We start from the raw sequence: 24,890 nt of genomic DNA, 5'->3' as shown, positions 1-24,890 counted from the left end.
AAAATGTGGTACATACACACCATGGAATACTACACGGCCATAAAAAAGAATGAAATCATGCCCTTTGTACTGTATTGAAAAGGTACCCAAATTGGATACCTTTTAGGAGGGAGTTAAATTGTCCCTATCTGCAGAGAAGATGATCTTATATATAGAAAATTCTTAACAACTCCAAAAAAACTGTTAGAACTAATAAACAAATTCAGTAAAGTTTCAGGATACAAAATCAGTATACAAAAATCAGTAGTGGCCAGACATGGTAGCTCATTCCTGTAATCCTAGCAGTTTGGGAGGCCAAGGTGGGTGAATCATCTGAGTCGGTGAGATGGAGACCAGACTGGCCAACATGGTGGAACACCATCTATATTAAAAATACAAAAAGTTAGCTGGGCATGGTGGCACACACCTGTAATCCTAGCTACTTGGGAGGCTGAGGTATGAGAATCGCTTGAACCCAGGAGGTGGAGGTTGCAGCAAGCTGAAATCATGCCACTGCACTCTAGCCTGGGCAATGAAGCAGACTATGTCTTAAAAGAAAAAAAAATCAGTAGTGTTTTTATATGTTCATAGCAAAATATGTAAAAACTAAAGAAAACAATACCATTTATACTAATTACAAAATATTAAATGCCTAAGAATAGATTTAACCAAAGAGGTGCATGATTTCCACAATAAAAACCATAAAACACTGATGAAAGAAATTGAAGAAGACACAAATAAATGAAAAAATGTCTCATGTTCATGGATTAGAAGAATTCATATTGTTAAAATGACCAAACTGCCCAAAGCAATTTACAGATTCAATGCAATCTCTGTCAAAATACCAATGACATTATTCACAGAAATAGAAAAAAAAGATTCTAAAATTTATATGAAACCATAAAAGACCCTGAATAGCCAAAACCATCTTGAACAAAAACAATAACAACAAAACAAAGCTAAAGGCACCACACTACCTGATTTCAAGACATACTATAAGGCTCTAGTAACCAAAGCAACGTGACACTGTCATAAAAAAAACAACATATAGGGCAAGGGGACAGAATAGAAAGCCCAGAAATAAATTCATGAATTTACAGTTGGCTGATTTTTGACAAGCCAAGGACACACACTGGGGAAAGAACAATATTTTTCAATAAATGAAGTTGGAAAAACTAGATATTCACATACAGAAGACTTAAATTTGACCCTGTTTCTCACCATATACAAAAATAAGCTCAAAATGAATTAAATACTTAAGACTCAAAACTATGAAAGTACTAAAAGAAAACAGAGGGAAAGTGCTTCATAACATTGGTATGGGCAACTTTTTTTGGGATAAGACATCAAAAGCACAGGCAACAAAAGCAGAAATGGACAAATGGAATTACATCGAATTAAAGAGCTTTTGCACAGCAAAGGAAACAATCAACAGAGTGGAAAGACAACCTACAGAATGTAAGAAAATATTTTTAAACATACATCTGACAAGGACTTAATATCCAAAATACAAACTCAATAGCAAGAAAACAAATAACCCTATTAAAAATGTGCAAAATAACTGAATAGATTTTTTTCCCAAATAACACATAAAAATGGCCAAAATATATATGAAAAATGTTCGACATGACTAATCATCTGGAAAATGCAAATGGAAATTGCAATGAAATATCACTTCACACCTGTTAGAATCACTGTTTTCAAAAAGACAAAATATAATGAGTGTCACTGAGGATGTGGAGAGAGGAGAACACTCACTCACTGCGGATGGAAATGTAAATTAGTACAGCCATTATGAAAAATAGTATGGAGGTTTCTTAAAATACTAAAAAGTAAAACTACCATATGCTTAGCAATTACACTGTTGAGTATATGTCCAGAGGAAATGGAATCAGGATGTCAAAGAGATATCTAGATTCTATGTTTATTGCAGTTTATTCACAATAGCCAAGACATAAACTCAACCTACGCATCCATCAACAAACAAATGAATGGGCCAGGAATGGTGGCTCCCAATGCTTTGGGAGGCTGAGGAAAAAGAATTGCATGAGCCCAGGAGCTTGAGATCAATCTGGGAAATATGGGAGACCCTGTTTCTACAAAAAAAAGAAAAAAAAATTAAAAATTAGCCAGGTGTGGTGACATGCAGATGTGGTCCCAGCTACTCAGCAGTCTAAAGTGGAAGGATCACCTGAGCTTGGGAGGTCCAGACCAGTCTGAGCAACATAGTGAGACCCCGTTTCATAACAAACAAACAAATGAATGGATAAAAAGATTGTGATTTATACACACTATTAAATACTAATCACCCATTAAAAAAAATCCCGTCATTTGCAGCAATATGAATAAGCCTGGAAGTCATTATGTTAAATAAAATCATCCAAACACAGAAAGACAAATACCTCATGACCTGTAGAATCTAAAAAAGCTGATCTCATAGAATGACAGAGTACAACAATGTTGCCAGAGGCTAGGGTGGTTAAGAGGAGTAGTAATGGGAAGATTTTGGTCAAAGAATATGTAATTAATTACAGGTAGATAGGAGAAATAAACATTTCCAGAATAGACAAAATATATAGAAACAGAAAGTAGACACCTGGCAGGTGGTGTCCATGTATGGTGATGGCTGGGTGGGCAGCTCACCTCTTTTAAAGGAGCCATCACTATTCAGAACCAGCATCTAACACCATGTGGGACCGGGTGGCCAGGGTGCTGGTTTCCTGATTCAACTATTAACCAAAAATGTGAACCAGAGAAACCATGTTCTCAAAACAAATTTATCTTGCGGACTACCAGTGTGAAATCTTTACTTTGAGATTTTTCAAGGAAAGAGCTTGGGGATTGGATTTTCATTTTAAAAAGATCACTTTGGATACAGCAAAAGAATGGAACACATCTAGGGACCCAAAAATCAAAGGGAGAGTCAAGTGATATGATGCTGATTGGATCAGGGGAGGGCAGGGCTGCAGAAAAGCACAGGTGTAAGGGGAGCCTGGGAGAGGAAATGACTCAGGCCAGTAGCCTTGAGTGTGGGGGTGGGGAAGGGAGGTGTCCAGGGTGGGTCCCAGGATGGGGGCTCCTGCCTCCCATTGAGAGACAGATCTGCAGCAGAAGACCTGATTGGAGGGAGAGGATCATGGGGACCATCTTGGGTATTCTGAGTCTTGGCTGACTTTCAGACATGCCCGTGGGCTTGCCAAGAGGCCATGGCCCTTCTGGGCATGGCCTCAGGATGCTGAGGAGGTGCTTGGTGGCATTGCTTGATTCCACTGGAGCCACAAGCTACTGTGGAGCCCAGCGGGGAGGTGGGCTGACTCCCAGAGGGACTGTCCCAAGCACCAAGGCTATCTGCAGTTTGACTAGAACCAGTTGGATCACGCTGCTGGTCCCAGGCAGACCCCACTGCTATATAGCTCACCAAGGGAAGACCCCCAAGGGGCCCACAGTAGGTAGAGTGGCCCTTAGGGGTAACTGGGGTTCATGGTAATGTCTCCAAGTTTCTACAGCAGCGTCAGGCTGTGGGAGCCTGCACTGCGGGCCCTTGCAGAAGTTCACCTGTGTTTGTTAGACAGCATGTGAAGTTTAGGCCAGAGTGAGTGCAGGGAGAGAACTTAAAGGGAGCCAAAACAGTCTCTGAGACCCTAAAGATGAGGCAGCTGACACCAACTCCACAGAACAGGCTCCCCTCCATTTCTACCCTGAAACAGCCCCTCTTTCTCCCTCTTTTCTTTTTTCCTCCTCTCTGCTTTTTATCTGACTATTATATTTAATTTTTTACTTGCTGAAGAGATGTACTAATTACCTGGGAAACACATTTTAGTTTTGTGATAACATCCTAGTCCTGCACAGCTCCCTAAGCTCCAGGTCCCCAGGCTCCTGGTGTAGGGTTAAACCATGGTGCATCTCACAACGGCTGCTGTTGCTCACGTGCTCTCAGTGCAGGGCCTGTCCTGTATAAATCTCTGTTGCATCAGTGACTCAAGTATGTAAAGCTTCAGATTTCCTCCAATGCACGAGTAGCCACACAGCTGTGCCAGGCAGGGGTGCTCCACAGAGAAATGAAAACAGTGGGCTAGGAGTGTCCCCAACCAACATGTCTCTACCGGAACAAGATGCCTTCTCAATGGAGTGGACTTATGTTTTCCTTAAAGTGATTGCTCTATATCTTTTGCTCTATTGTGGTGACTGAAGATTTTCAGACATTTGAATAGGCCCTTCCCATTTTCTACCTGAATTGTTTCCTGATAGTTTGTCACCTGTGTCTCCAGTTCCCCCATGTCTGCATTAAATGCTTCATCAGGAGAAGCAGCTCCAGGGTGTAGCATCTGAGCCTCGTCTCCTATCCGTGAGGATCCCAGGAGAAGATAATAAATCATGCCCTTATGCTACAAAGAAATCAATATTTTAAAATTCCTTTGGTCAGCTTTTCATGGGATTTTAAAACTCCATGGTGCCAAAATGCTGATGATGTCATCAATAATATGAAATACTCTGACCAGTCTTTCTTTGGGATGCCCCCAGCCTCCTGGCATCAGAGGCAGGGAGGCCGACTTCAACTCCATTACAGGGCACACAAGGTGCCTCTTCTCATCATCATGAAGGAAATCTGCTCACCGAAGAATACATCAAAACCTTCCCTGAGCATAAATGCAAGGGAAGCCTTAGAGAAAGCCTTAGACTGTGCACAAATAGATTGAAGATTCGATCTGGAAAATAATATTCTCAAAGACAACCAAGGCAGGTTGGAGGAAAAGCCAACCAAGACATTGCCTCCTCCATCTCCTGTCCACCTAACCAGGCTTCATTCCTGCATCATCCTTCCCTCCCTTCTGTCCTCACCTGATCACCTGCTCCTGCTCCACAGCTTCCGTGGGGTGCCCTGCACCCCCCTCTCATCTTTACTTCCTCCCTCTCACAGTCGGTCTTCCTCGTCTCCAAACATTCCCTATCTTGGAAGGATATTTCCTTAACACCAAAAGTCTTCTCTCTGTTCCATTGTTTATGGAACCCCTCTGTGTCTCCTGCCCTCTATCCTGTTTTGCTGCAGCGACATCCCAGAATCCTGGTCCTCAAGCAGGGCATACATCTGGCTCCCCTGGAAGGCTTTGTCTGCACAGACTGTGAACAAGACACCCCCGGAGTATCTTGTTCACTGGCTCTTTTGTGAGTCCCCTAGGAATTTGCATTTCCACCGAATTCCCAGGTAACTGTGATGCTGCTGGTGTGGCGACCCCACATAGAGAACTAGCACTCTGAAAAGCCCTTAATGATCAACTCAGAGGACTTTCTGGACCACGCTCTCCGAGCCTCTGCAGTGTGAGACACTGTTGACCAGTCTCCTTAAACCAACAACCAGAGTGGATTTCTCGCAACCTCACTCTGGCCTGATGCCGTCTGCTATCTCACTCTCACCCCACTCCTCAGCATAGAAATACCCTAGAAAATTCAGTTTCCCCCCTTAGACTTCTCTTAGGGCTTCCATTTGGAGAAAGTAGTACACTCTTGCACGTGGTCATTTAAGAAATAATTTCAGCCTTGATTCAAGTCTCTCTCCCTAATTCCAGCATGAAAATATTTGTCGTTTTTGCTAGTTCCACATTTGAGTATTCCGCCACAGAGTTCATTGAATGCACCATGATCATCTCTCTCTCGTTTACCGCAGTCTTCCCATCTCCTAGTAGGAGTGGCTGCGTAGGTAAGAGGAGCTTTCATACTGTGTTTACCCATATTTTCTTTCCTGGGAGCTCTCAAAATCCAAACCCCCACTGCAATAATTGCATCTGTAGCAAAGACTGTGCTTGAGACTGATAGCATGGCTAAGTGTTTGACAAATTTCCACCTATCTTCCAATAAGGCACTATCCCATTTTCCAATAAAGCTGATGAAACCTGATAAAAAAACGTTAGAGGAATCAAAGGCCCCCAGGCTAACTGGTATCATATCTCATGAAATTCCACATTCAGCATCGTCTATATTGGAAATATTAAAAAATTCATATATAGTGAAATGATAGATACTTATGTCACTATTTTAAAAAGTTATGCTGATAGAGCGCTCCCTTGCCCCTCACTAAGCAGGCGCTTCTCTGAGTAGATGAAGATGGCAATATTGACCCACAGTCCTGCGGAAGGCGTGTTCTGAGCTGTGACGAATTTGCCCTGAACCATCTACACCCCTCTGTCTGATCAGGAGCCCTCCCTGGGCTTGCAGAGGATGCAGCCAAGAACCTTCATGCTAGGAAGGACCCCAGAGGTGACAGTTGGAAGTGAAGCTGCAGAAGGCCAAGTTCTGAAACCACACGTCAGGGGTGTCTGGGCAGTGGGCATGGGCACTGGTGTCCCTACTCCAGGCCCAGTGCCCTCCCCTTTGCCACTGTGTTCAGCTACATATTTTCCAGCTGGTTCCACTTGTCTCTTACCACCTACAGTTGTGGGACAGGTTTGGAAGGGGCTTTGAGCCCCTTCTGCAAAGCCCTCGCAGGCATTGACCTGAGTCAATACCACTAGGAAAAGAGAACTTATGATGTCACTGTGCGCCCTGCAATGAGGCGTGCTCCTCCTCTGCCCACCTGCTGTGAACACAGGGAGACACACACATTTGTGGGGCCCAGGCTGCAGGCATGGGAGAGGAGAGGGGCCAGCCTTGTGCAAATACAGTGAGCCCTGGAAAGAGAGCAAGAGGTCTCCATGAATGGCTCCTGTCATCACACGGTGGTGGGGAGTGAGCAAGAAGGGCCAGAAATGAGAAGGGGGCCCCCTCCCTTTCCTTTGAGGTCCCCCTCAAACCACTGCACAGGCTGCTGTGCACAGCACAGCCTGACCTAAGGACTGGAGACTGGGGATCATCCTGATGAGGGGGCTACTTCTTGGTCATCCTCCAGGTCTTCAGGGGCCCCACTACCCCCACCATCCATAGTACAGTTCCGTCTCTTCATGCAGGGCTGGGCTGCCATGGGCCCTCTCCTGAGCTCTTCTCCTCCCAGGGCCAGGAGCGGCCTCTGGAGATGCCCACATCACAGTCTCTTTGGATCCTGCTTTGGGGAGGCCCCTGCGTGACTCTCATTTAGCGGTCCTCTCCCCTCTGGCATGGGATGCACATGCTTACTTGTGTGGTTATTAATTTTCTCTCCCCGACCCACCCACTAGAATGCAGCCTCCTTGAGGGCAGCCCCTCAATCAATGTTTCAGGGCTGAATTCATGGGCCCAGCCTCCCCTGCAATTCACGGGGCTGAACTTTCCAGCATCCAATGGCTCTGGCTGCCCAGGACCCCCTTCCCCTGAGTGCCTGCCTTCCTCTCATTCTTTAGGTCTCTGCTTATGTGTCACCTCTTCCAAAAGGCTATCCCTGACCACTTCTCACTCTCTGTAGCATGAATTCTGCGTGGTTCATTTATCCTCCGAGTCATCATTTAGAATATACACTTAATCAGGGCAGGAGCCATGTCTACAAACAATAGAAACATGTATGTATACATTCCTCACTCTCAAAGGAACATTACACATGGCCTTAGCCCAGGGCAGGACACAGATCAATGCTTGCTGATGGAATGAAGGACATGAAGACAGACGTGTGAGCAGAATGGTGTGGCACTCAGAGCCCACACGGGAACGTGGTCAAGGGATGTAAGATGGCCTCCCCTGGAAAGAGAAACCTTTGGGGCCACTGTGGTGGGAATAGACCCTATGGCAGATGCCATGAGAAGGCCACAGTCTTACTCTGTTACCCAGGCTGGAGTACAGTGGTGCAATCTCAGCACACTGCAACCTCTGCCTCCCAGGTTCAAGTGATTATCCCACCTCAGCCTCCCAAGTAGCTGGGAGTACAGGCGTGAGCCACCACAGCCGGCTAAATTTTGTATTTTTAGTAGAGACGAGGTTTTGACGAGGATCAGCCAGGCTGATCTTGAACTCCTGACCTCAAGTGATCCGCCCACCTTGGCCTCCCAAAGTGCTGGGATTACAGGCTGAGCCACCGTGCCTGGCCTGTTTTCATTCTTGTGCTAAGTCTGGAGGTGTTGAGTCTTAATGACCTTTTTCAACCTCAGAGTCTCGTCAGAACACCGCTCCTCGTGAATAGTGTAGAATGAATTCATTCCCTCAAGAACCATGTCCATCACATGCACTGAGCACCATTCTAAATACTAGAAACTGAAAAATAAATTTAAATAAACGGATTGCAGGTGGAGATGTATTTGTTTCTTATTTCTACTGTAACAAAGGACCACTAAGTTAGCAGCTTAAACAACACAGACTTGGGACCTTACAGCTCTGGAGGCAGAAGTCTGAAGTGGGTCTCACTGGGCTGAAGTCCAGGCATCAGCAGGGCTGCCTCCCTTCTGGAAGGGCCAGAGGAAAACCCATTTCCCCACCTCTTCCAGCTTCCAGAGGCCACAAGCATTCCTTGGCTTGTGGCTCCTTCCTCCGTCTTCACAAACAGCAGTGTGGCATCTTCTACTCTCTCCCCAACCCTCTCTTCTGTCCCTGTCTTCCTTATAACAGCCTGGTGATTGCACTGAGTCTGTCCAGGTCATGCAGCAGGATCACACAGGAGGATCTGCCACCTCGAGGCCAGTTCCTCCGTGACCTGCATTCCAATGAGAGCCTCGGCTCCCTTGGGTATGTAGTCTACATGCTCACAGGTTCTGGGGTTACGATGTGGACATATTTGGGAGGCCATAATTCTGCTACCCTAAGAGAAGCGTGGAGAGTGGGCTCCTAGAAACAACTCAGACACAGTGGGTATTTAGGGAGGAAGGAACCACCTCCCCGAGACCATATCTGTGGCTGTAGTTGGAGGATCCCAGCTACAGACACCACCGCCCCTTAACTCTAAGAAGCATTGTCCTTTATTTTCCGTTTATTAACTTTCAAGGGAATCCCACAGACATTCTGGACTTGAAAGCAGAATTTATTTCCTGAATTAACCTATATTCTTCTGAGATAAATTATATTTTGTTGTCCAGATATTTCTCACCTGTGGCTATCAGCAATCACCTTGCCCCACATAATATTGAGGGCAAATTTAATTGGTGGTGCATTATGTAATGCTTTGAGGTTAATATTGGGGTACAAGTGAAGCTGGATGATGTCAGTCCCCATTGCTCCATATTAGTAGTGGCTGCTATTTTGCCCTCTCACTGTACCTGCTGTCCACTCGGAAATCAGCACCACAGCACTGTCCCCAAACAGCCCCTGCCTGGAACAGGGCTGAGTTCTCAGATGACATACAAATCCATGATCTCATCAGAGTATTAGAGGTGAAGCTCTGAACTCCTGCTTGCCACGGGCAGTAGGAAACCAGGTCTGGCTGCTCTAAGCATTGATTCTCTAAAGCTTCCTTGTTTGAGTGACTGTTTCTATTTTAGAGACGCAGGTGCTGAGCTCTGCCGCAGAACAGGCAGTGTTTCCATTCCAAATAAACTGAACACATCCTTCTCTAGGGGTTGCAAGCTTCATGATGACCAGCAAATGTGATATCCTGGGAGACTTTATGAGCGGCTGTGGGTAAATGTGATCTATCCTCTGCTCCTTGTGTATGTAAAAGGGGTCTATCTTCTGCTCCTTGTGTATGTAAAAGGGGTCTATCCTCTGCTCCTTGTGTATGTAAAAGGGGATTATCTTCTGCTCCTTGGCTGTGAATCTGGGAAAATACATTTCTATACATGCTTCAACATTGGATTTTTGAACTAGGACTTTCTGAAATTAGAATAATCTAAGACACATTTCTGTGCTTGTTCTTTAGTTTGAGGTAATACTAAGGTACAAATAACAGCACTGCTAACTACTTACATTTCATCAAGTAAAAGTAAAATAAAGACATAAGTCACTGATTACAAATATGTCGGAAAACAGTAGGCATAATTCAAGAGATACAGTGAAAGCTTGGAAGATTGTTTTAATTTTCTGAAAGCTGCATATAATCCTTGGGTCAATTTTTAACAAATTTGTATTTAATCTCAACAAATTATTACCTATATTGTTATTAACATATTAAATGATATATTGAATATATTATTATGTTATAATATTATTTATAGTATATATACATATAAATTTATTTTTAATATAAAATTATATTTATATATTATTATATAATATAAATAACATATTAAATATATTATTTAATTACATTAATATTATACAGGTTGAGCATCCCTAATCCAAAAATCAGAAATCTGAGATGCTCCAAAATTCAAAACTGAAGTGTAAAATTTCACCCTCGACCTCATGTAATAGGTTTCACAAAATTATTAAACATAATGCATAAAATTACCTTCAGGATCTGTGTATAGAGTATATATAAAACATAAATGAATTTTGTCTTTAGACTTGGGTTTCATCCCCAAGAGATCTTATTATGTATATATGACTATTCCAAAACCTGAAAAAAATGAGAAATCGGAAACACTTCTGGTTCCAAGCATTTTGGATAAGGAATACTTAACCTGTATGATTATATTTAATAGTACGTTAAGTTAGATTATTAGTTATATTAAGTTATTAAGTACTCTGTATATCCATATCCCTGATCTGTGGGTATATAAGATATTGTGCCAGACAGTACAGAATTAATATTAAATAGCTAGAGACCCATGTCTGTATATCATATCTATGTATGAAGAGAGATTGTAATATGTAGACAGATGAAAGCTACTGGCATGGATGGATGTGATGCAGACACTTGCCTCGGGAGTACGGAGTCTAATATGAGAGCTGAGATAGAACCAAAACAGCCAGTGCCAGGAAGCATGGAGTCCTGGGATAATAGGGGTGCAGGCCTTGCAGAGGGCAGGTGCCCCCGGAGTTACCTGTGAGCTGGGCCTTTTAGGCTGGGCCCACCCAGGAAGTAGCAATGGATGGGGAAGATGTTTTCAGGTGGGAGGAATACCACACAACAGGAAATAAAGGAGGCAAGACCCCGTCATTTTTCAGCAAAGGAACAGAGGAGATGACTTAGTCTCAAGAAACCATTTCTGGTGTGGAAGCACCGTCTTAAATGTGGTGTATGACTGCCTAGCGCAGCTGAAAACATGATTTCACTGTCTATCCCAGGCTGCCTGTTGCATACATGGTGAGGCTTATATATTTGGTGTCGACCTGTCCTGACACATACACACCGCCACAAGTAGGAAGGCTGTTAGTCTTTCTAAACTCACGGCAGCACACTTTTCTACGTTTTGAAAAGCCCCACTCTAACTATGGTCTTCTGTCTTCCCAACCAGTGCTGTTGGTGTCCGCGCTGCTGCCGTCCCGGGCTGTCCATTGTTGAAGCTGAATGAATCTGTGCCCTTAACTTCCCCAAACACATCAGCAAATCATGTGAGCATCAGATGGGAGCACCTCAGTGATAAGATAATGGCCCCCACAAAGAAGGCAGCAGGCGTCCTGAGATGTCCAACGTGTCCTTTCTGTTGGTCCACACTTGAGCTACTTAAGGCTACCAGCACATGTCCTGGCAAAACCTTTGTAGTTTTCTCCTATAAACTAAGCATAAATTTCGTGGGAGATGACAGATTACTTCATATACCATGCAAGCAAGCCCAGACAATAGCTTTAGCCATGACTGATTGCCTCGCTGTAACCCACTTTGTGTTAAATGCATTCTTGCTGTTCAATTCCACCACTGTAATTTTGTTCTTCTGCATTCCCCGGCCCTCTGCGGACTAACCAGGTTCCTTCAGTAATGATTTCTTTTCTATTGTATTGTTTTCTGCATAATCAAGTTGGTAGGTGGGGGTTTGGGTGACACGGCCATCTGTCAAGTTCATTTGCTCTGAAAATGCAAGAAATAATGGCCTCTACAACTTGGGGCTATCCGTTATAAAAGAAGAATATCAGCTTTTACCCTGTGCTCTTTTCTCATCTCTCCAAATTATTTCTCCCCTTTCAATAAGATGCACATACACTCTCTCCTACATGATGGGTTGTTTACATATTTGGGTTCTTTTTAAGGGGAAAAACATATTTATTCCTATCACTTGTCCACCCTGTATTGCAATTTATGCAGGCAATCCAATTAAGGAGACGCAGCTAACATCCAGACTAATGTGCCTGTCTAGGGACTAAAGACGCTGCCAGTGCCTGAACCACTCAGGAGTTCCTTCCTATCAGGGCTCCTCTGACAGGGCTGCTCCACTCCTTGAAGTCTGCATAATGTGGAGAGTTAGGGAGAGGGGGGTGCCACCGAGGACAGAGAAAGTCGCTATTCACTTCTCAAAAATAAAAGGCTGCTAAACTCGTAGTTTATCAAATTTACTGAAGTCACACAATGGTACCTTTCTCAGACTGGAAGAGGTGAGCCATGCCAAGCAGAAAGGATGTTTTCTGCGATTCCAAAGTTTTTCCCGTTTGAAGGAAGTAGAATGACTTACGGAAAAGTATTCATGAGTTTGGTTTGTTTTTGTTTTTGTTTTTTTCCTAAAAAGGGATGATGTGGATAAGATTAAAAGCTGATAATGGATGCAGAAACTTCTCTGAGATCGTGAATCCTACTGAATTGACATATGATGCTTAAAGGTTCTTTTCAGTAATAGGGATGCGTTTAATATGCACTGTAGCCATAGTGCTGCCGTGGGAATTATCTCCGGAGCTGTGCAGGGCTGATTAGTGCTCAGCTCTTTCCAAGTTGTTCCTTCCCTTGAATGTATGGATACAGTCGATGTCACCACTCTGAAGATGAGCAAGTATGGTCACTTTCTCAGTGTTGAGAAGAAAGTCTAAAATGGTCCTCCCACATGGTGGGAGGACTTTGGCCAATGCCTCTGCCATGCTCCCACCTGGGAACATGAACTGCATGGGAAGACTGTCTTGAGGAGTGGCTTTGTAGGTGTCCTCAAGGAGAACCCAGCTCCACAGATGGCACATCTACCCATGCATCTCTGGCTCTAGCTCCATCATCTTCCTCTGTCATCTATCAAGAGATTTTCTATAAAAATTGCCTTCTGTGATGTGGAGCCTGGCAAGTCCCTTGGTGGCCTGAAACTGGGCAGCTGGAGGAGGCACAGGGAGCTGCTGGAGGAAGCCCCAGTGTGCATTCAAGTCTGAAGGCAGGAGACCAATGGCTCAGCTCAAAGACAATCAGGAAGAGAGAAAAAATTCTTTCCTGTCCAGCTTTTTATTCTATTCAGCTCTTCAGTGGATTGAATGAGGTCCACCCACACCAGGGAGGGAAACAGCTTCCCTCGGTCTATGGATTCAAATGTTAATCTCATCCAGAAGTATCCCCACAGATATTGTGCCTAACCATGAATCCTGGCGTCAGGGGCCCTGTCAGGGTGACACATAAAATTATCCCCCCAGATGACACTGCCTTGGTTCGTCTTCACAGGGAACTCCAGGGAGACCCTCTGCACTCTTAGAGTATGTGTGTGGGGGACTCCAAGTGACATGAGCAGATTGCTTCAGAACCCGCCTTTTCCAAATAATTGCTGCCGAGAACAGGAAAGGAGGAAAGAGTGAGGAAAGACCCTGTACTTACCAAGAAGAGCTACAGAGATGCAGCCCTTCTTGGAGAGGAGTGTAGAGCTGCAGAGATGCAGCCCTGGTTCGTGGAGCCAGGTTTTCCAGCTCTTCCTCAATTGCTTAGAGAATGCACCTGGCAAAGACCTCTGCTGCTGTGAGCTAGGGGCAAGCCTCTCTTGCTTTTAAAGTACATCCTGCTTAAAATCCAAACTTCAGCCAGAAGCTGTATTACTCAGGAGACATTTTTGGCTAATCTTCAGTTCTTAAAGGGAACATGAAATGGTGCCTGAAGTGGATTTTGTAAAGTGTTTTCTACACCCTTGAATTAGTAATTGCTGCATTTTTATAGCCCTAATCCTGTAACAATTGAGCTACTCATTTTATTTTATTTTTTTCTCCAAAATTTGACATCACTCAGACAGTCTATTCTTAGCACTGGCTGTAGGAAAAAAATAGCTAAGAGGATGGAAGCAAGCCCTAAGTAATAGAATCATGATAAGGGTGCCATTTTTCAGTCCCAACACACATTGTGAGCTGTATACGTTAACCCAAAGTCTGCATTCAAAGTGGAATTATAACTGGGCAGTGAATGAGTTGCTCAGTCCATCTATTAACCATACTCTTTTAGGCTTTTTATTGCCTCTAATTGTTGTAATAATTAACATTTTCCCAGGAAGTTGTTTTACAGAAGAAGGGGCCTTAGCGGCTTTCAACTCTTTAGAGATAAGTTCAACTTTGTGGATTGACCACAGCACATCTTGTTTAGTAGTGAGCGGGAGCCATACGAATCCTCTAGAGACACAGCCGTGTCTGAGATGGACATTGCCAACACATCACCCTTGGTGAGCAGAGGGGCCCTTTGCAGGGGCGCAGGTTGTCTGTATAGAATATTCTTCCGCTCTCTCGTGGCCTGACACAGACTCTCTGTTGAGTTCCAAGAGATTTCTTTACTCAGGAAATTTCTCTTGTTAACAGTGAAATATTCACATAAAATAAGAAAGGGCAAAGCAAACACAGATGTTTTCCAATGTCTCCCAACCTGAAACATGCCTTAGATACTTTGCAAAGGGAAATAAAATCTCCAAATTGTATGTAGCCAAAACTCTTTGGCAGAGAATATTTGGTGGGCACCAATGGCATGGTGATTTTTGAGATGACTATCCAGCCTTCCCTCTCAGTGCTGACAGAATATATCCAATGGATGCATTTTCAAGCTGGATTCTCAGGCGTGTGTCCCCTTTTCTTGATGCCCTGTGCTCCTGACTCTTGATCTGCCTGTGTCTCCCTGTGATTGGCAGATACAGACCTGAGTCTAAGCAGCAAGACCTGCACAGTTGGACTTTGCACCCTCATTGTCATCCAGGAAGTGCTCAACTGAGATCATGATAAATTGGGGGAAAATTAAGGCCCATTAACTATCTCAGTCACCAAAGCCCCTCTCATTTCCTGCCCCCCGTCTCCATCTTATTCTCCCTTTTCCTCCACTTCGGTCTTTCTTGGGGGTTTTTCAGGCCCCTGTGGAAAGACGCTGTTTAGACTGTAGGTGTTAATTAATTACCTCGCACCATTTTGCTGCCAACTCCAAGCACTAATTGCTGCAAGTTTCTCTAAACGTAAGGTTTTCTTTGGCTTCCAGGAGTTTCTGAGTTCTCCTTTCATCCCCTGCCTTCTCTTTCTCTCTCCCAAGAGACTCTGAATTGCTTTTGAAAGGAGATCTGGGATGCACCCCGTGTCTGTCCCCAGGGCTAGAGAATCTACACGTTTGAGTAACTAGGAGTAGGCATGGGACACAGTGCATCTGCGACTTGGTACACTGCAGCCTCTGCAGCTCAGGGCCCCTGGGCCACACAACCCATCCATTTGCCCCCTGCAAAGGGCCCCCAGGTTTCTAGAGACCCGTGGATGCTCATCCTCAAAGCGCCTGTGGAAGACACTGCAGAAAGACCTGGGAGGATGAGGAGCACCTCAAGGTGGGGGCATCTGGCTGGATTCCAGGCCTAACACAGACTCAAAGTGAAAGGCAGGCTGAGTACATGGTTTAAGGATAACCGCCTAGAATCACCTCCAACCGGCTGTAACTACATCCATCCTGAAGAACATCCCGTCCCTCCAGCCCCACTCCAGTTTCCCTTTCTCTGTGCGTTCTGGCCATTCTTGATTGATCTTCAGCTTAGGGTCAGAAATTCATAATGCTGTGTAGAGTAATTTTGTTCTGTAATTTAGAAATAATTGAAAATAGGGCAGAACATCAGTGGACAGTTTTTCAGCATCCCCAGTGTGCCAGGTCTCTGCCTCCACCTTCCACCCTTCTCCCTGCCCCATGGAAGACACTGTCCTATGTAGGGAGCATTGAAAGGACAAGGGTAAACGTGTCCTCCCATGTATGGTGACATATGCCTTGTATGTGTGGACCTTACATATTGCTTGGTGTAGTATGCTGAACAGTGTCCCTCCCACTCCCTAATAAAAGATATGCCCCACAAGACCCTGTGACTGTGACCTTATTTGAGAAGAGTTTTGGCAGATGGAGTTAAGTGAAGGAAGTTGACCTTAGATCATCCACAAGGCATGGGTTCAGATCCTCGTATCTGGAGTGCTCCAAGGAGAACTTGGAAGGGCAGAGTGCAGCAGGACTTTCTGCGGGCAGGAGTTGAACATGGTCCAGCTGGTCCAGAGGCGGGCAGACCTCACGTGGAAGGGATGGTGATGGCTTCTGCTACCGTCAGTGAGCTGAAGGAGAGATCTGAGACACAGACATGGGGGGAAGGTCCCGTGCAGATGGAGGCAGAGATGGGGGTGATGCAGCCACAGCCAAGGAACATGCAGAACCACCAGGAGCTAAAGAGCCTAGAAAGTCCTCCTCGTGACCTTTCTGAAGGGCCAGGGCTTTGCTAGTGCCTTAACTTCCGATTCTGGCCTTCAGAACTGGGAGAGAATAAATTTTGTTGTTTTAAGCCACTTGATTGTTGGTAATTTGTTACAGCAACCCCAGAAAACTAATAGAGAACAGCAGGATCTCATAAACAGGGACCTGGTGGCCACTCCTAGCCTCATCCTTGCCATTATAAATATGGCAAATTTGTAAAGGTTAAAATCTTGTATGCAAAGAACAACTCACAGACCTATTGATAGCCTGATAATTTGCAGAGATGCCTCTAGATCTACCTGGCAAATCCAAGTCTTTTCCTAAATAATGATTCACTTTTGCCTGCAAGGGTCGTCTGGTCTCTCCCATCTTGTTCTTTGGAAAATAGCTGGCAGGGATCATCAGTGTGATTCCAGAAGTCCTCCTAGACTGCCGAGTTCCTCCTCGGTCCCTACTGAGTTCCTGCTTGCTCTGGGCCACACCCTGTGACACCTGCCCCCCTCCCTCAACCCACACACTCCCCACACTGCCTATGTCCCGCTCCGTCCCTGTATGCTGTTTTTGTGCGTGTGTCTGTGGAGTGTCCCTGAGTCCCCAGCCCTGGATGTTTATTCACTTGATGGGGCCATCCCTGCAGCACAGAGACCTCCACTCTGAAAGCCAGGGAGCTCTCTAGAAAAATGAAAATGTGCCTTAACAAGAAAAGCAAGCTGTGGAGACAGATATCCTCTGACAGAGGCATGCCCCCAGCATGTGTTCTGAAGGCATCACCCTGGGCAGCAGTCCCACCTCTGGAGTCCAGCCGGCACTGGCCTGTCCACTTCCTGCTTGTGGAAACCTGAGGCTGCCCCTGCTTGGTGGCCAGCTTGGTAGGTGGAGGGAACAACTGTAATTAAGTGCTGGTTTTCTGCTCCGTGAGGCTGTCATTTATTTATGGTGCTTGGCCAGGTTGGCCTGGACCAGTCTCACTAGCCAAGTTTGAGCAGAGACTTTTGTCTGACACATTAACAGGCTGATTCCCTGGACAGCAAGTGACATGCTGCCGCCCTGCTTTTCACACATGGGCCTCACTCTGGGATGCAGACCTGCAGGAAGAGAACAGCAGAGGGTGTGAAAGTAAAAGTCACTCTAAAGATTTCCACACCCCAAGGGCTATAGGGTATACTTCAGATCTGCAGGAAAATAATGCCGAGTTTTCTTTTAATAGGCAAAGACATTGACTTTCAATGAACAGCTATTAACTGGGGGAAGGCCATCTAGACACTTTTGCACAGGTCACTTTCAAACAGGGTCAACTTTCTTTACAAACCTGAAAGCTACATCATTGACCTTGAACTTTATGTGGTGTAACTTGGGGGAGCCTCATTGCATAATTGTTCTTCCAGTTGGTTTCTGGAGCAAAGCCTGGTGAAGACCAGATTCATTTGCCACCCAGAGCTGAGGCTTGGAAGCAAGACCCTGGGAGGAGCTTGCTGGACAGGGGGACCCAGGAACGCAAAGGTCCCATCAGATTCCCTTGGGAAAAAGAGAAGGCAACAGTATTTAGACTCATGGAAAATTAAACAGAAGGAAGAGGCTGGAGGGTTTTGGGAAACTTGGTCTGTTTTCAAGTTAGTCCAAGACTAGCCATGCTTATTTTTATTCCAATCCTGGGCAGCTTGGGGAGATGCCCCTTCACCGCCTGCTTGTGGCTGTGCTGGCATCTGGTGTCCAGGGTCTGTGAAGGAATCTGTGCAGGGAGATGCACATCACAACTCATAGTTTGGCCGGGCACAGGGGCTCACGCCCACATCCCAGCCACTCAGGAGGCCCAGGTGAGGGGATCACTTGAGCCCAGTTCAAGACGAGCCTGGGCAACAGAATGAGCCCTGTCTCTACAAATAAAATAAAGTTAGCCCACTGTGGTGGTATGCCTGTAGTCCCTGCTACTCAGGAGGCTGAGGCAGGAGGATCTCTTAAGCCCAGGAAGTGGAGGGTGCGGTGGGCTATGATTGCCCCACTGCACTCCAACCTGGGAGACAGAGTGACAGCCTTTAAAAAAAATCACAGTTGCCACTAACTGCATTTAGTGGAAATATAAAATTTAAGTAATTAAGCCAGTGGCTAATGGCTTTATGTTGGAATATATACTCAGAGTTGTTTACTTTTTGGTAGCTCCATATACATTTTCTATCTTAAAAGTCTGAAAGATGTTTGCTGGTAATTTCATCAGAAGAAAATATGAGTTTTTTATCCATATAGCTCTGGGTATCTCAGCTTGGCCTTCTGGCTTATGTCCCACTATTAAAGACCCACTATTTAAACCGGTAACCCTGAATGAATGCCAGGCTTGAGTTATCACTGAAAGGGTGCTTGTAAATGTGGACTGTGCCATCTCTATCGCGTCTGGGCCCCGCAGCCACATTTGACTCCATGGGTCTACAGTGGCCAGAGTCATATGCCGTGTGATCGCCTGCGAGGAAGTCAGATGAGGCCAACAGTGCTCTCACTCAGCAGTCCAAACATGTGCAAGGAAGGGCTCAACAGAAAGCCATAGAGAGCCTGGCAGGAGGAACTGTGTGTGTAGAGCTGTGTGTACAAGGTGTGTGCACATTGTGTGTGTGCAGGGCTGTGTCTGTGCAAAGTGTTTGTGTTCAGAGTGTGTGCAAGGTGTGCGTGCACGGGGTTGTGTAGGGGATGTGTGTACAAGGCTGTGTCTGTGCAGGGTGTGTGTACAGGGCTGTTTGTACAGGGCTGTGTGTGTGTTTAAGACTGTGTGCAAAGTGTGTGTGTTCAGGGTATGTGTGTTCAAGGTGTGTGTGGAGGGCTGTGTGTGTGTTTAAGACTGTGTGCAAAGTGTGTGTTCAGGGTATGTGTGTGCAAGGTGTGTGTACAGGGCTGTGTGTGTGCAGGATGTGTGTGCAGGGTGTGTGTGTGTACAGAGTATGTGTGTATAGGGCTGTGTGAGTGCAGGTTTGTACAGGGCTGTGTGTGTGCAGGGCTGTATGTGTGCAGAGTGTGTATGTGTGTAGAGGATTGTGTTCGGGAGCCCACACTAAGTCCAGGGCCACCTGCTCTGGGTCTTTCCAGGGATAGTCCTTTGTAGCACGTGCGCTGTGGAGGGCCATGCCTGCAAACGGACTGGAGCACCATGAGATAGCTGGCAGGTCTCTCCAATTTTGATAGAATGAAGCTCTATCTATTCTGTTATTTATTTATTGTTAGACAACTGTTCTTCAGTGCTTCATCTGAGAGGTCCTTGGAATTTGCTTCCAGATGATGGGAGGGGATGTTTGCTCTCACACAAAGCCAGGGACAAACCGCTACGATGTAGGCATGTCATATGGAGGTGCTGCATCTGCCAGGGACAGCTCCCAGGCCACTGGTGGGACCTGAGGCTGGTGGCGCAGGGGCTCTTGCTGCTGAGCCTCTGAGAATCCACAGCCCACAGGCTCTGCCCTCACCAGCATGCTTGAGACACAAAGCCAAAATAGAGTCTGTGATCTGAACCACGAAGATGTCACCTCCAACAGTGGTGGACAGAGCAGGCTTTCAGGAGGAGCCACACGCTTTCACCCTCTGCCAACACCTGATAACCAGTCCTGGGGCCTGGCGTTGTAAGTTGCCACTCCATCCTGGACAACGGGATGGAGTGGAGTGTGGAGACCTCTCACCTAGCCCTGGGGTCTCCTGGGCAGTGCATCTACATCAGGGCACACAAGTGTTCACCAGCACCTGCAACACAGCCACTGTGTGGCCTGTGCCCCTGCCCCTCCTGGTGAGATGCCTGTGACCAGCCTGGCATCGCCCCATCAGGGCTGATTGTGAAACGTCCCGGGAAGGGGAGCACCGGCGTTGGCTCTTGGGCCTTCACGAGCTGGACTTCTGACTATGTAAGCATGGCATCCTGTGTCAGGTCTCGAGTGCTCCAGATGGAAAACATGCTAGTTTTTCATGTGGGATTGCTAAGGATACTAGGAGATGCTCCCTCGCGGGGGATGCGGAAACACCACCTGAGCATGCTGCTGGAACGGGCTGGCTCTGAACGCAGCTGGCGCGGGGCTGAGGCTGTTTTCTTATGTAACGGAGCAGGGTTTCCTTTGCTTATCATTGTGTTTATTTTTTTCTTTCAGGGCCTTTCTTTACTTTCAGTTCATCATTAAAAAGATTATCATTCAAACCCAAAGTAGCATCAACACCCACCACAGGGAATGGGCAGACTGAGGCCACCAGGAGCATGAGTCCTGCACTTGGGGACTGCAGGCCCCATTGATCTCACCTCATTAAATTGAGTCGCGTCAGCAACTTCACAGGCGTCCCGATAGGGTGCATGCTAAGAATAATACAGCCATTTATAAACCAAGGCACCTTCCATTGTTTTTCTTCACACTCCTTTTAAGAGGCTTGGCCTGGTGGGGACTCTCCCTGTTAGCAGAAAGGAGGCTCCATGGGAAAATAACGTGGTCATCTGTTTAGCACAGAATCAGCAATTCTTTTAGCAGTTTAGGGCAGGTGAAACCCTGCATCATATTTACACAGTGTCTTCCTCAGAACAGGTTGCTAATGCCTCATTTATTCTCAAGACATCTCTAGCAGAAGTATAAGGAGGGAGGGATGCTGTGGGGTTGTGGAAGGTAGGGAGGCTTCACCTAGAGGAGGGGGCACAGGAAGCTGGAGGAGCTTGCTCAACATCAGGACAGTGTATAACTGGGAATAAAATCTATACTCTCCACTTCAGGGGCAGAGATGGGCAGGCAGCACCATCTGCCTCTGATGAGGCCGCTGAGTTGAGTGCTCCTGCGCTTGGGGTAGCTCTGCTCCATGCAGTCATTCAGGGCCCCAACACTTGGGCGGTGGTGGACCGGTGGCTCAACTCTCATGTGGGGTGTGGTTCTCTCCCAGGGGATAGAGGCTGGCTCACCCCATTCCCCAGCCTGTCAGTGGTTAGACTATACCCGTGTGCCATTAATGAGGAAAAACATAGACTTGATCAAGGTCAGCCCTTGCTGCTCTGCATAGAGAAACTGTTCTGGGCCCTATTAAAAGCATTGTTTAGCCACCAACATCCATCTGCCTCCTTCAACAATGAGGAATGCCTCTCTCCTGGGGCTTGGTGGCATGTGACAGGCATTTGGTATTTGTTGAATTAAACTTAATTCCACATTGAGAGCCTGCAATGTGTAGTACCAGGGGATATAGCATCTATGCATCCTACCCTTCCAGCGGGCTTTAATGGGTCAAATTATTTAAACAGAAATACCAACATTCTTTTTAAAAAGGGGCACAGGCAGTGAGCATAAGATGTCCAGGTGAAGAGAGGCCACCGTGGTCTTTAGAGGGCAGAGGCCCAGCTAGACCTGAAAGAAGAATTAGGTGCTGCCAGTGATTGAAGGAGGTGGGGCTGTGCGCCCAGGACAATGGCTCCCCCAGGGAAGCTGGCGCTGGAGAAATTGTGGGTCAATTTAATAGCTCGATGGTAGAGAAAGATACCTTGGTGGAGAAATGACAAAATGCATCATCTAGAGAGAGGTCGAATAGGGAGATGTGTCTGTAAGGAGGCATCTGGGTGTGTGTAAGGAGTTGGATTCCAAAGGAAAAGTATAAAGAAAGAAAAAGTCAGGTATCGAGACAGTCTTCAGCTCATTCCCTCAGAGAAACGGACAAAAAGTCACCACTATTTGCATGTTCCATGTTTGTAAACATTCACACACACACATGCACACGCATGAAGTAACTAATAAAAAATTACAAAGAAGCCGATTATTAAATATATTCTCAAAATTGATGTTTCCTGTCTAACCAAAGTACCAATTGGCATGGAATAAATTAATTTATTTATAATAGCAACTGAGATAAAACAACTTAAGAATAAATTCAATCTAATGAGAACTTGTAATAGATTTACTGAAAGATATTTAAAAACATGTTCTTGGAGAACTCACAACCCCTTTGTTGTGAGTAGATGAATCTGCTGTAGTGAAAAGGTCTGAGTGTGAAGCGGCTCGGGCAGGCAGCGCCGTCTCCCTCTGGTGAGGCTGCAGAGTTGAGTGCTCCTGTGCCTGGGGCAGCGTGGTTCCGTGTGGTCACTCGGGGCCCCAACGCTTAGGCTCTGGTGGACGTGTGGCTCCACCGTCATGTGGTTCTCTCCCACAGGATTGGGCTGGCCCGTCATGTGGTTCTCTCCCACGGGATGGGGCTGGCCCGTCATGTGGTTCTCTCCCACGGGATGGGGCTGGCCCGTCATGTGGTTCTCTCCCACGGGATGGAGGCTGGCTCACCTCACTCCTCAGCCTCTCTGTGGGAAGGGAGATAAGAAGTTGGGACATGTGGCCTGGACTTTGAAAAGACCACCTGGAAATTGTCTTCCTTGCCTTTGGTAGTATTCCCATTGTCCCACATGCAGTCTCTGTGCCACAGCGAGCTGCACAGGGTCCGGGAAATGTGGGCATCTGCAACTCGGCGGGTGGTAGCTTCCATCACCAAGAGGAAGGAGGAGAGCGTAGGGACAGTCAGCAGTCCCTGCCACGGGGCGGACGTTACCCTGGGAAGAGACAAGCTCCCTCAGAGTGTTTATATGTTTAATTCAATTCTAATTCCAATGCACATTTCCGAGAACCTGGTGTGATACTTTTAAAGGTTACCTGGGAGAATAAGCGTGTAAGAATAGGCAAGACAATATTTTCAAAGACAAGGTGTACATCTGTGCCTTAATGAACAACATGTTGGTACCAATCGTACCACAAACCATGACCTGGCTAAGATTAGACAGAAAGATAAATGGAACAAATTAGGAAGTCAGGATATGAATATACTGTAAATACAGAAACTATGTAACACATATCACTGTGGCTTACATGATGCATGTTTATGTATACATGCATTTATACACACACAGAGAAAGGCAGACATGGAGACAGAGACATTGATGAGAGAGATATGCACAGTTGAGAGAGGTTGGTCAATTTCCCAACTTTATCCTCTACACATACCCAAAAACATAGCTGTGTTTTAGTTAAGAAAAGTCTGTGCAGATACACTAACATCTGAATAAGATGAAAGAAATATAGGTGAATATGCATTAACTATGTACATACTTACACGATAGAACGTGGCTGCCCCTCCAGAGACCAGTGTGGGTGTGCAGTGGCTGAGTCCTTGCAAACCAATGCAGAAAGACTGATTATACAGAAGGATAACGATTAGAAAACTATTAAATTTCTACCCTAGAACATAATCCAAAATAGATGCTAAGTGAAATAAACAGAAATGTGAAAGTTTGAAAGAGAGCATGGATGCATTGGGCAGCTCGGGCCTGAGGGGCCTCGGGGACACTGGTGACCGCAAACCCACAGGGCAGACTCAGCTCAGGGCTGCAGGGCTGCCATCCCGAGAAGACCATGTCCACATCCGGTCAGGAGATAGGAGCCCTGCGCTGCTGAATGCATCTGCATCAGCTCCGTCTGCATGTGTTTACCACAAGGCAACAAGCCCACAGATGCCCCGAGATGCAGCCACAGGGATAATCATGGCAAAAGCAGTGGATCCCAACAAGAGTAATGAGGATAATCATTCCTCCTCCAGCAGGAGATGGCAGGGTGTCCTCTCCTCCACCCCAAGTGGCCAACGATTGCACTGTTGTCATGGTGCCATTGTTGGGTTTTGCCAGACAGAACAGGAGGTCAAGGTGTACAGGGAATGACTTCAGCTGCCAGCCTTCAGGAACAATAGCCCACAAGTGTCCCAGGAGGGTGTGTGTGCCAGGGACAGGCACACCTCACAAAGTGTCTCTGGTGGGTATGGAGCATGTTAAAGACAGACGGTCCTGAGGGACGGACGGTGCCTCTCCACCAAGATGCCTCTTTTCTGCCCAGAGAACATGCAGCCCCTGCAAGCCATCCAGGCCATCCCAGCTACCCTCCCTAACCAGCGTGCACCCGCAGCCAAACAGGGCTTCCCAGGTGTCCAGCAGCGCTAGAAGCCTATACGGTCACTCCCCCTGCTACGGCTTTCGGTCCAAACCCTCTTCCCCTCTTGACTCCTCCCGTGGACCTCAGCAGGTTGTATAGAATCAGAAGACTTTACTGTGGTGTTTGTTAACATCATGGTGCTGAATGCAGCACGGCCACCTGGGAGTGGCATTTAATAAAACTGGGGCTTTAGCCCCGTGGGGCCAGGTGCATTTAGATCGCCTTTTTTACACACTTTCATCACATGTACATATATATGTGTGTGTGTGTGTGTATTTATCACAGACTTTTTTAGATATGATTTATATACCACCGTTTTTCATTATTGTCTACCTAGAGAGGGTTTTAGGTTATTATTTCCTAATTGCCCCTCATCTAGGAAGCTCTCTGTCTGGGTATTGCATGCTTACCTGTAATTGAGGTATATGAAGATTAAGACATTTTATTCCCCATGAACCAATGTCTGCCCCCGTGGGGAGATACTGGTCCTGCTGAGCTTGCGTGACTTAGACCCCAGCTCTCCACCTTGGACTCACAGTGAAATCACCTGGCCAGCTTAACAAAAAGAAATCACTCACCTCTCTCAGGACCTGCTGAGGGGATCACAGCATCCTTTGCATTGGGTGAGAGCCTACCAG

General features: G+C 46.2%; 2 annotated features.

The window, feature by feature from the left end:
• Positions 22,020–22,519: an enhancer, noted in NCBI's record as "H3K4me1 hESC enhancer chr5:3346677-3347176 (GRCh37/hg19 assembly coordinates)". NCBI's record gives its function as "activates a minimal SCP1, AML or CMV promoter by ChIP-STARR-seq in naive H9 embryonic stem cells {active_cell/tissue: H9 hESC(naive)}" and the evidence as "EXISTENCE:reporter gene assay evidence [ECO:0000049][PMID:30033119]".
• Positions 22,520–23,021: an enhancer, noted in NCBI's record as "H3K4me1 hESC enhancer chr5:3346175-3346676 (GRCh37/hg19 assembly coordinates)". NCBI's record gives its function as "activates a minimal SCP1, AML or CMV promoter by ChIP-STARR-seq in naive H9 embryonic stem cells {active_cell/tissue: H9 hESC(naive)}" and the evidence as "EXISTENCE:reporter gene assay evidence [ECO:0000049][PMID:30033119]".

This window comes from Homo sapiens, chromosome 5, assembly GCF_000001405.40.
Source record: "Homo sapiens chromosome 5, GRCh38.p14 Primary Assembly".
In the NCBI taxonomy this organism is placed as follows: Eukaryota; Metazoa; Chordata; class Mammalia; order Primates; family Hominidae; genus Homo; species Homo sapiens.
Note: the sequence above shows the minus strand (reverse complement) of the source record. Positions and strands in the feature narration are given on the sequence as shown.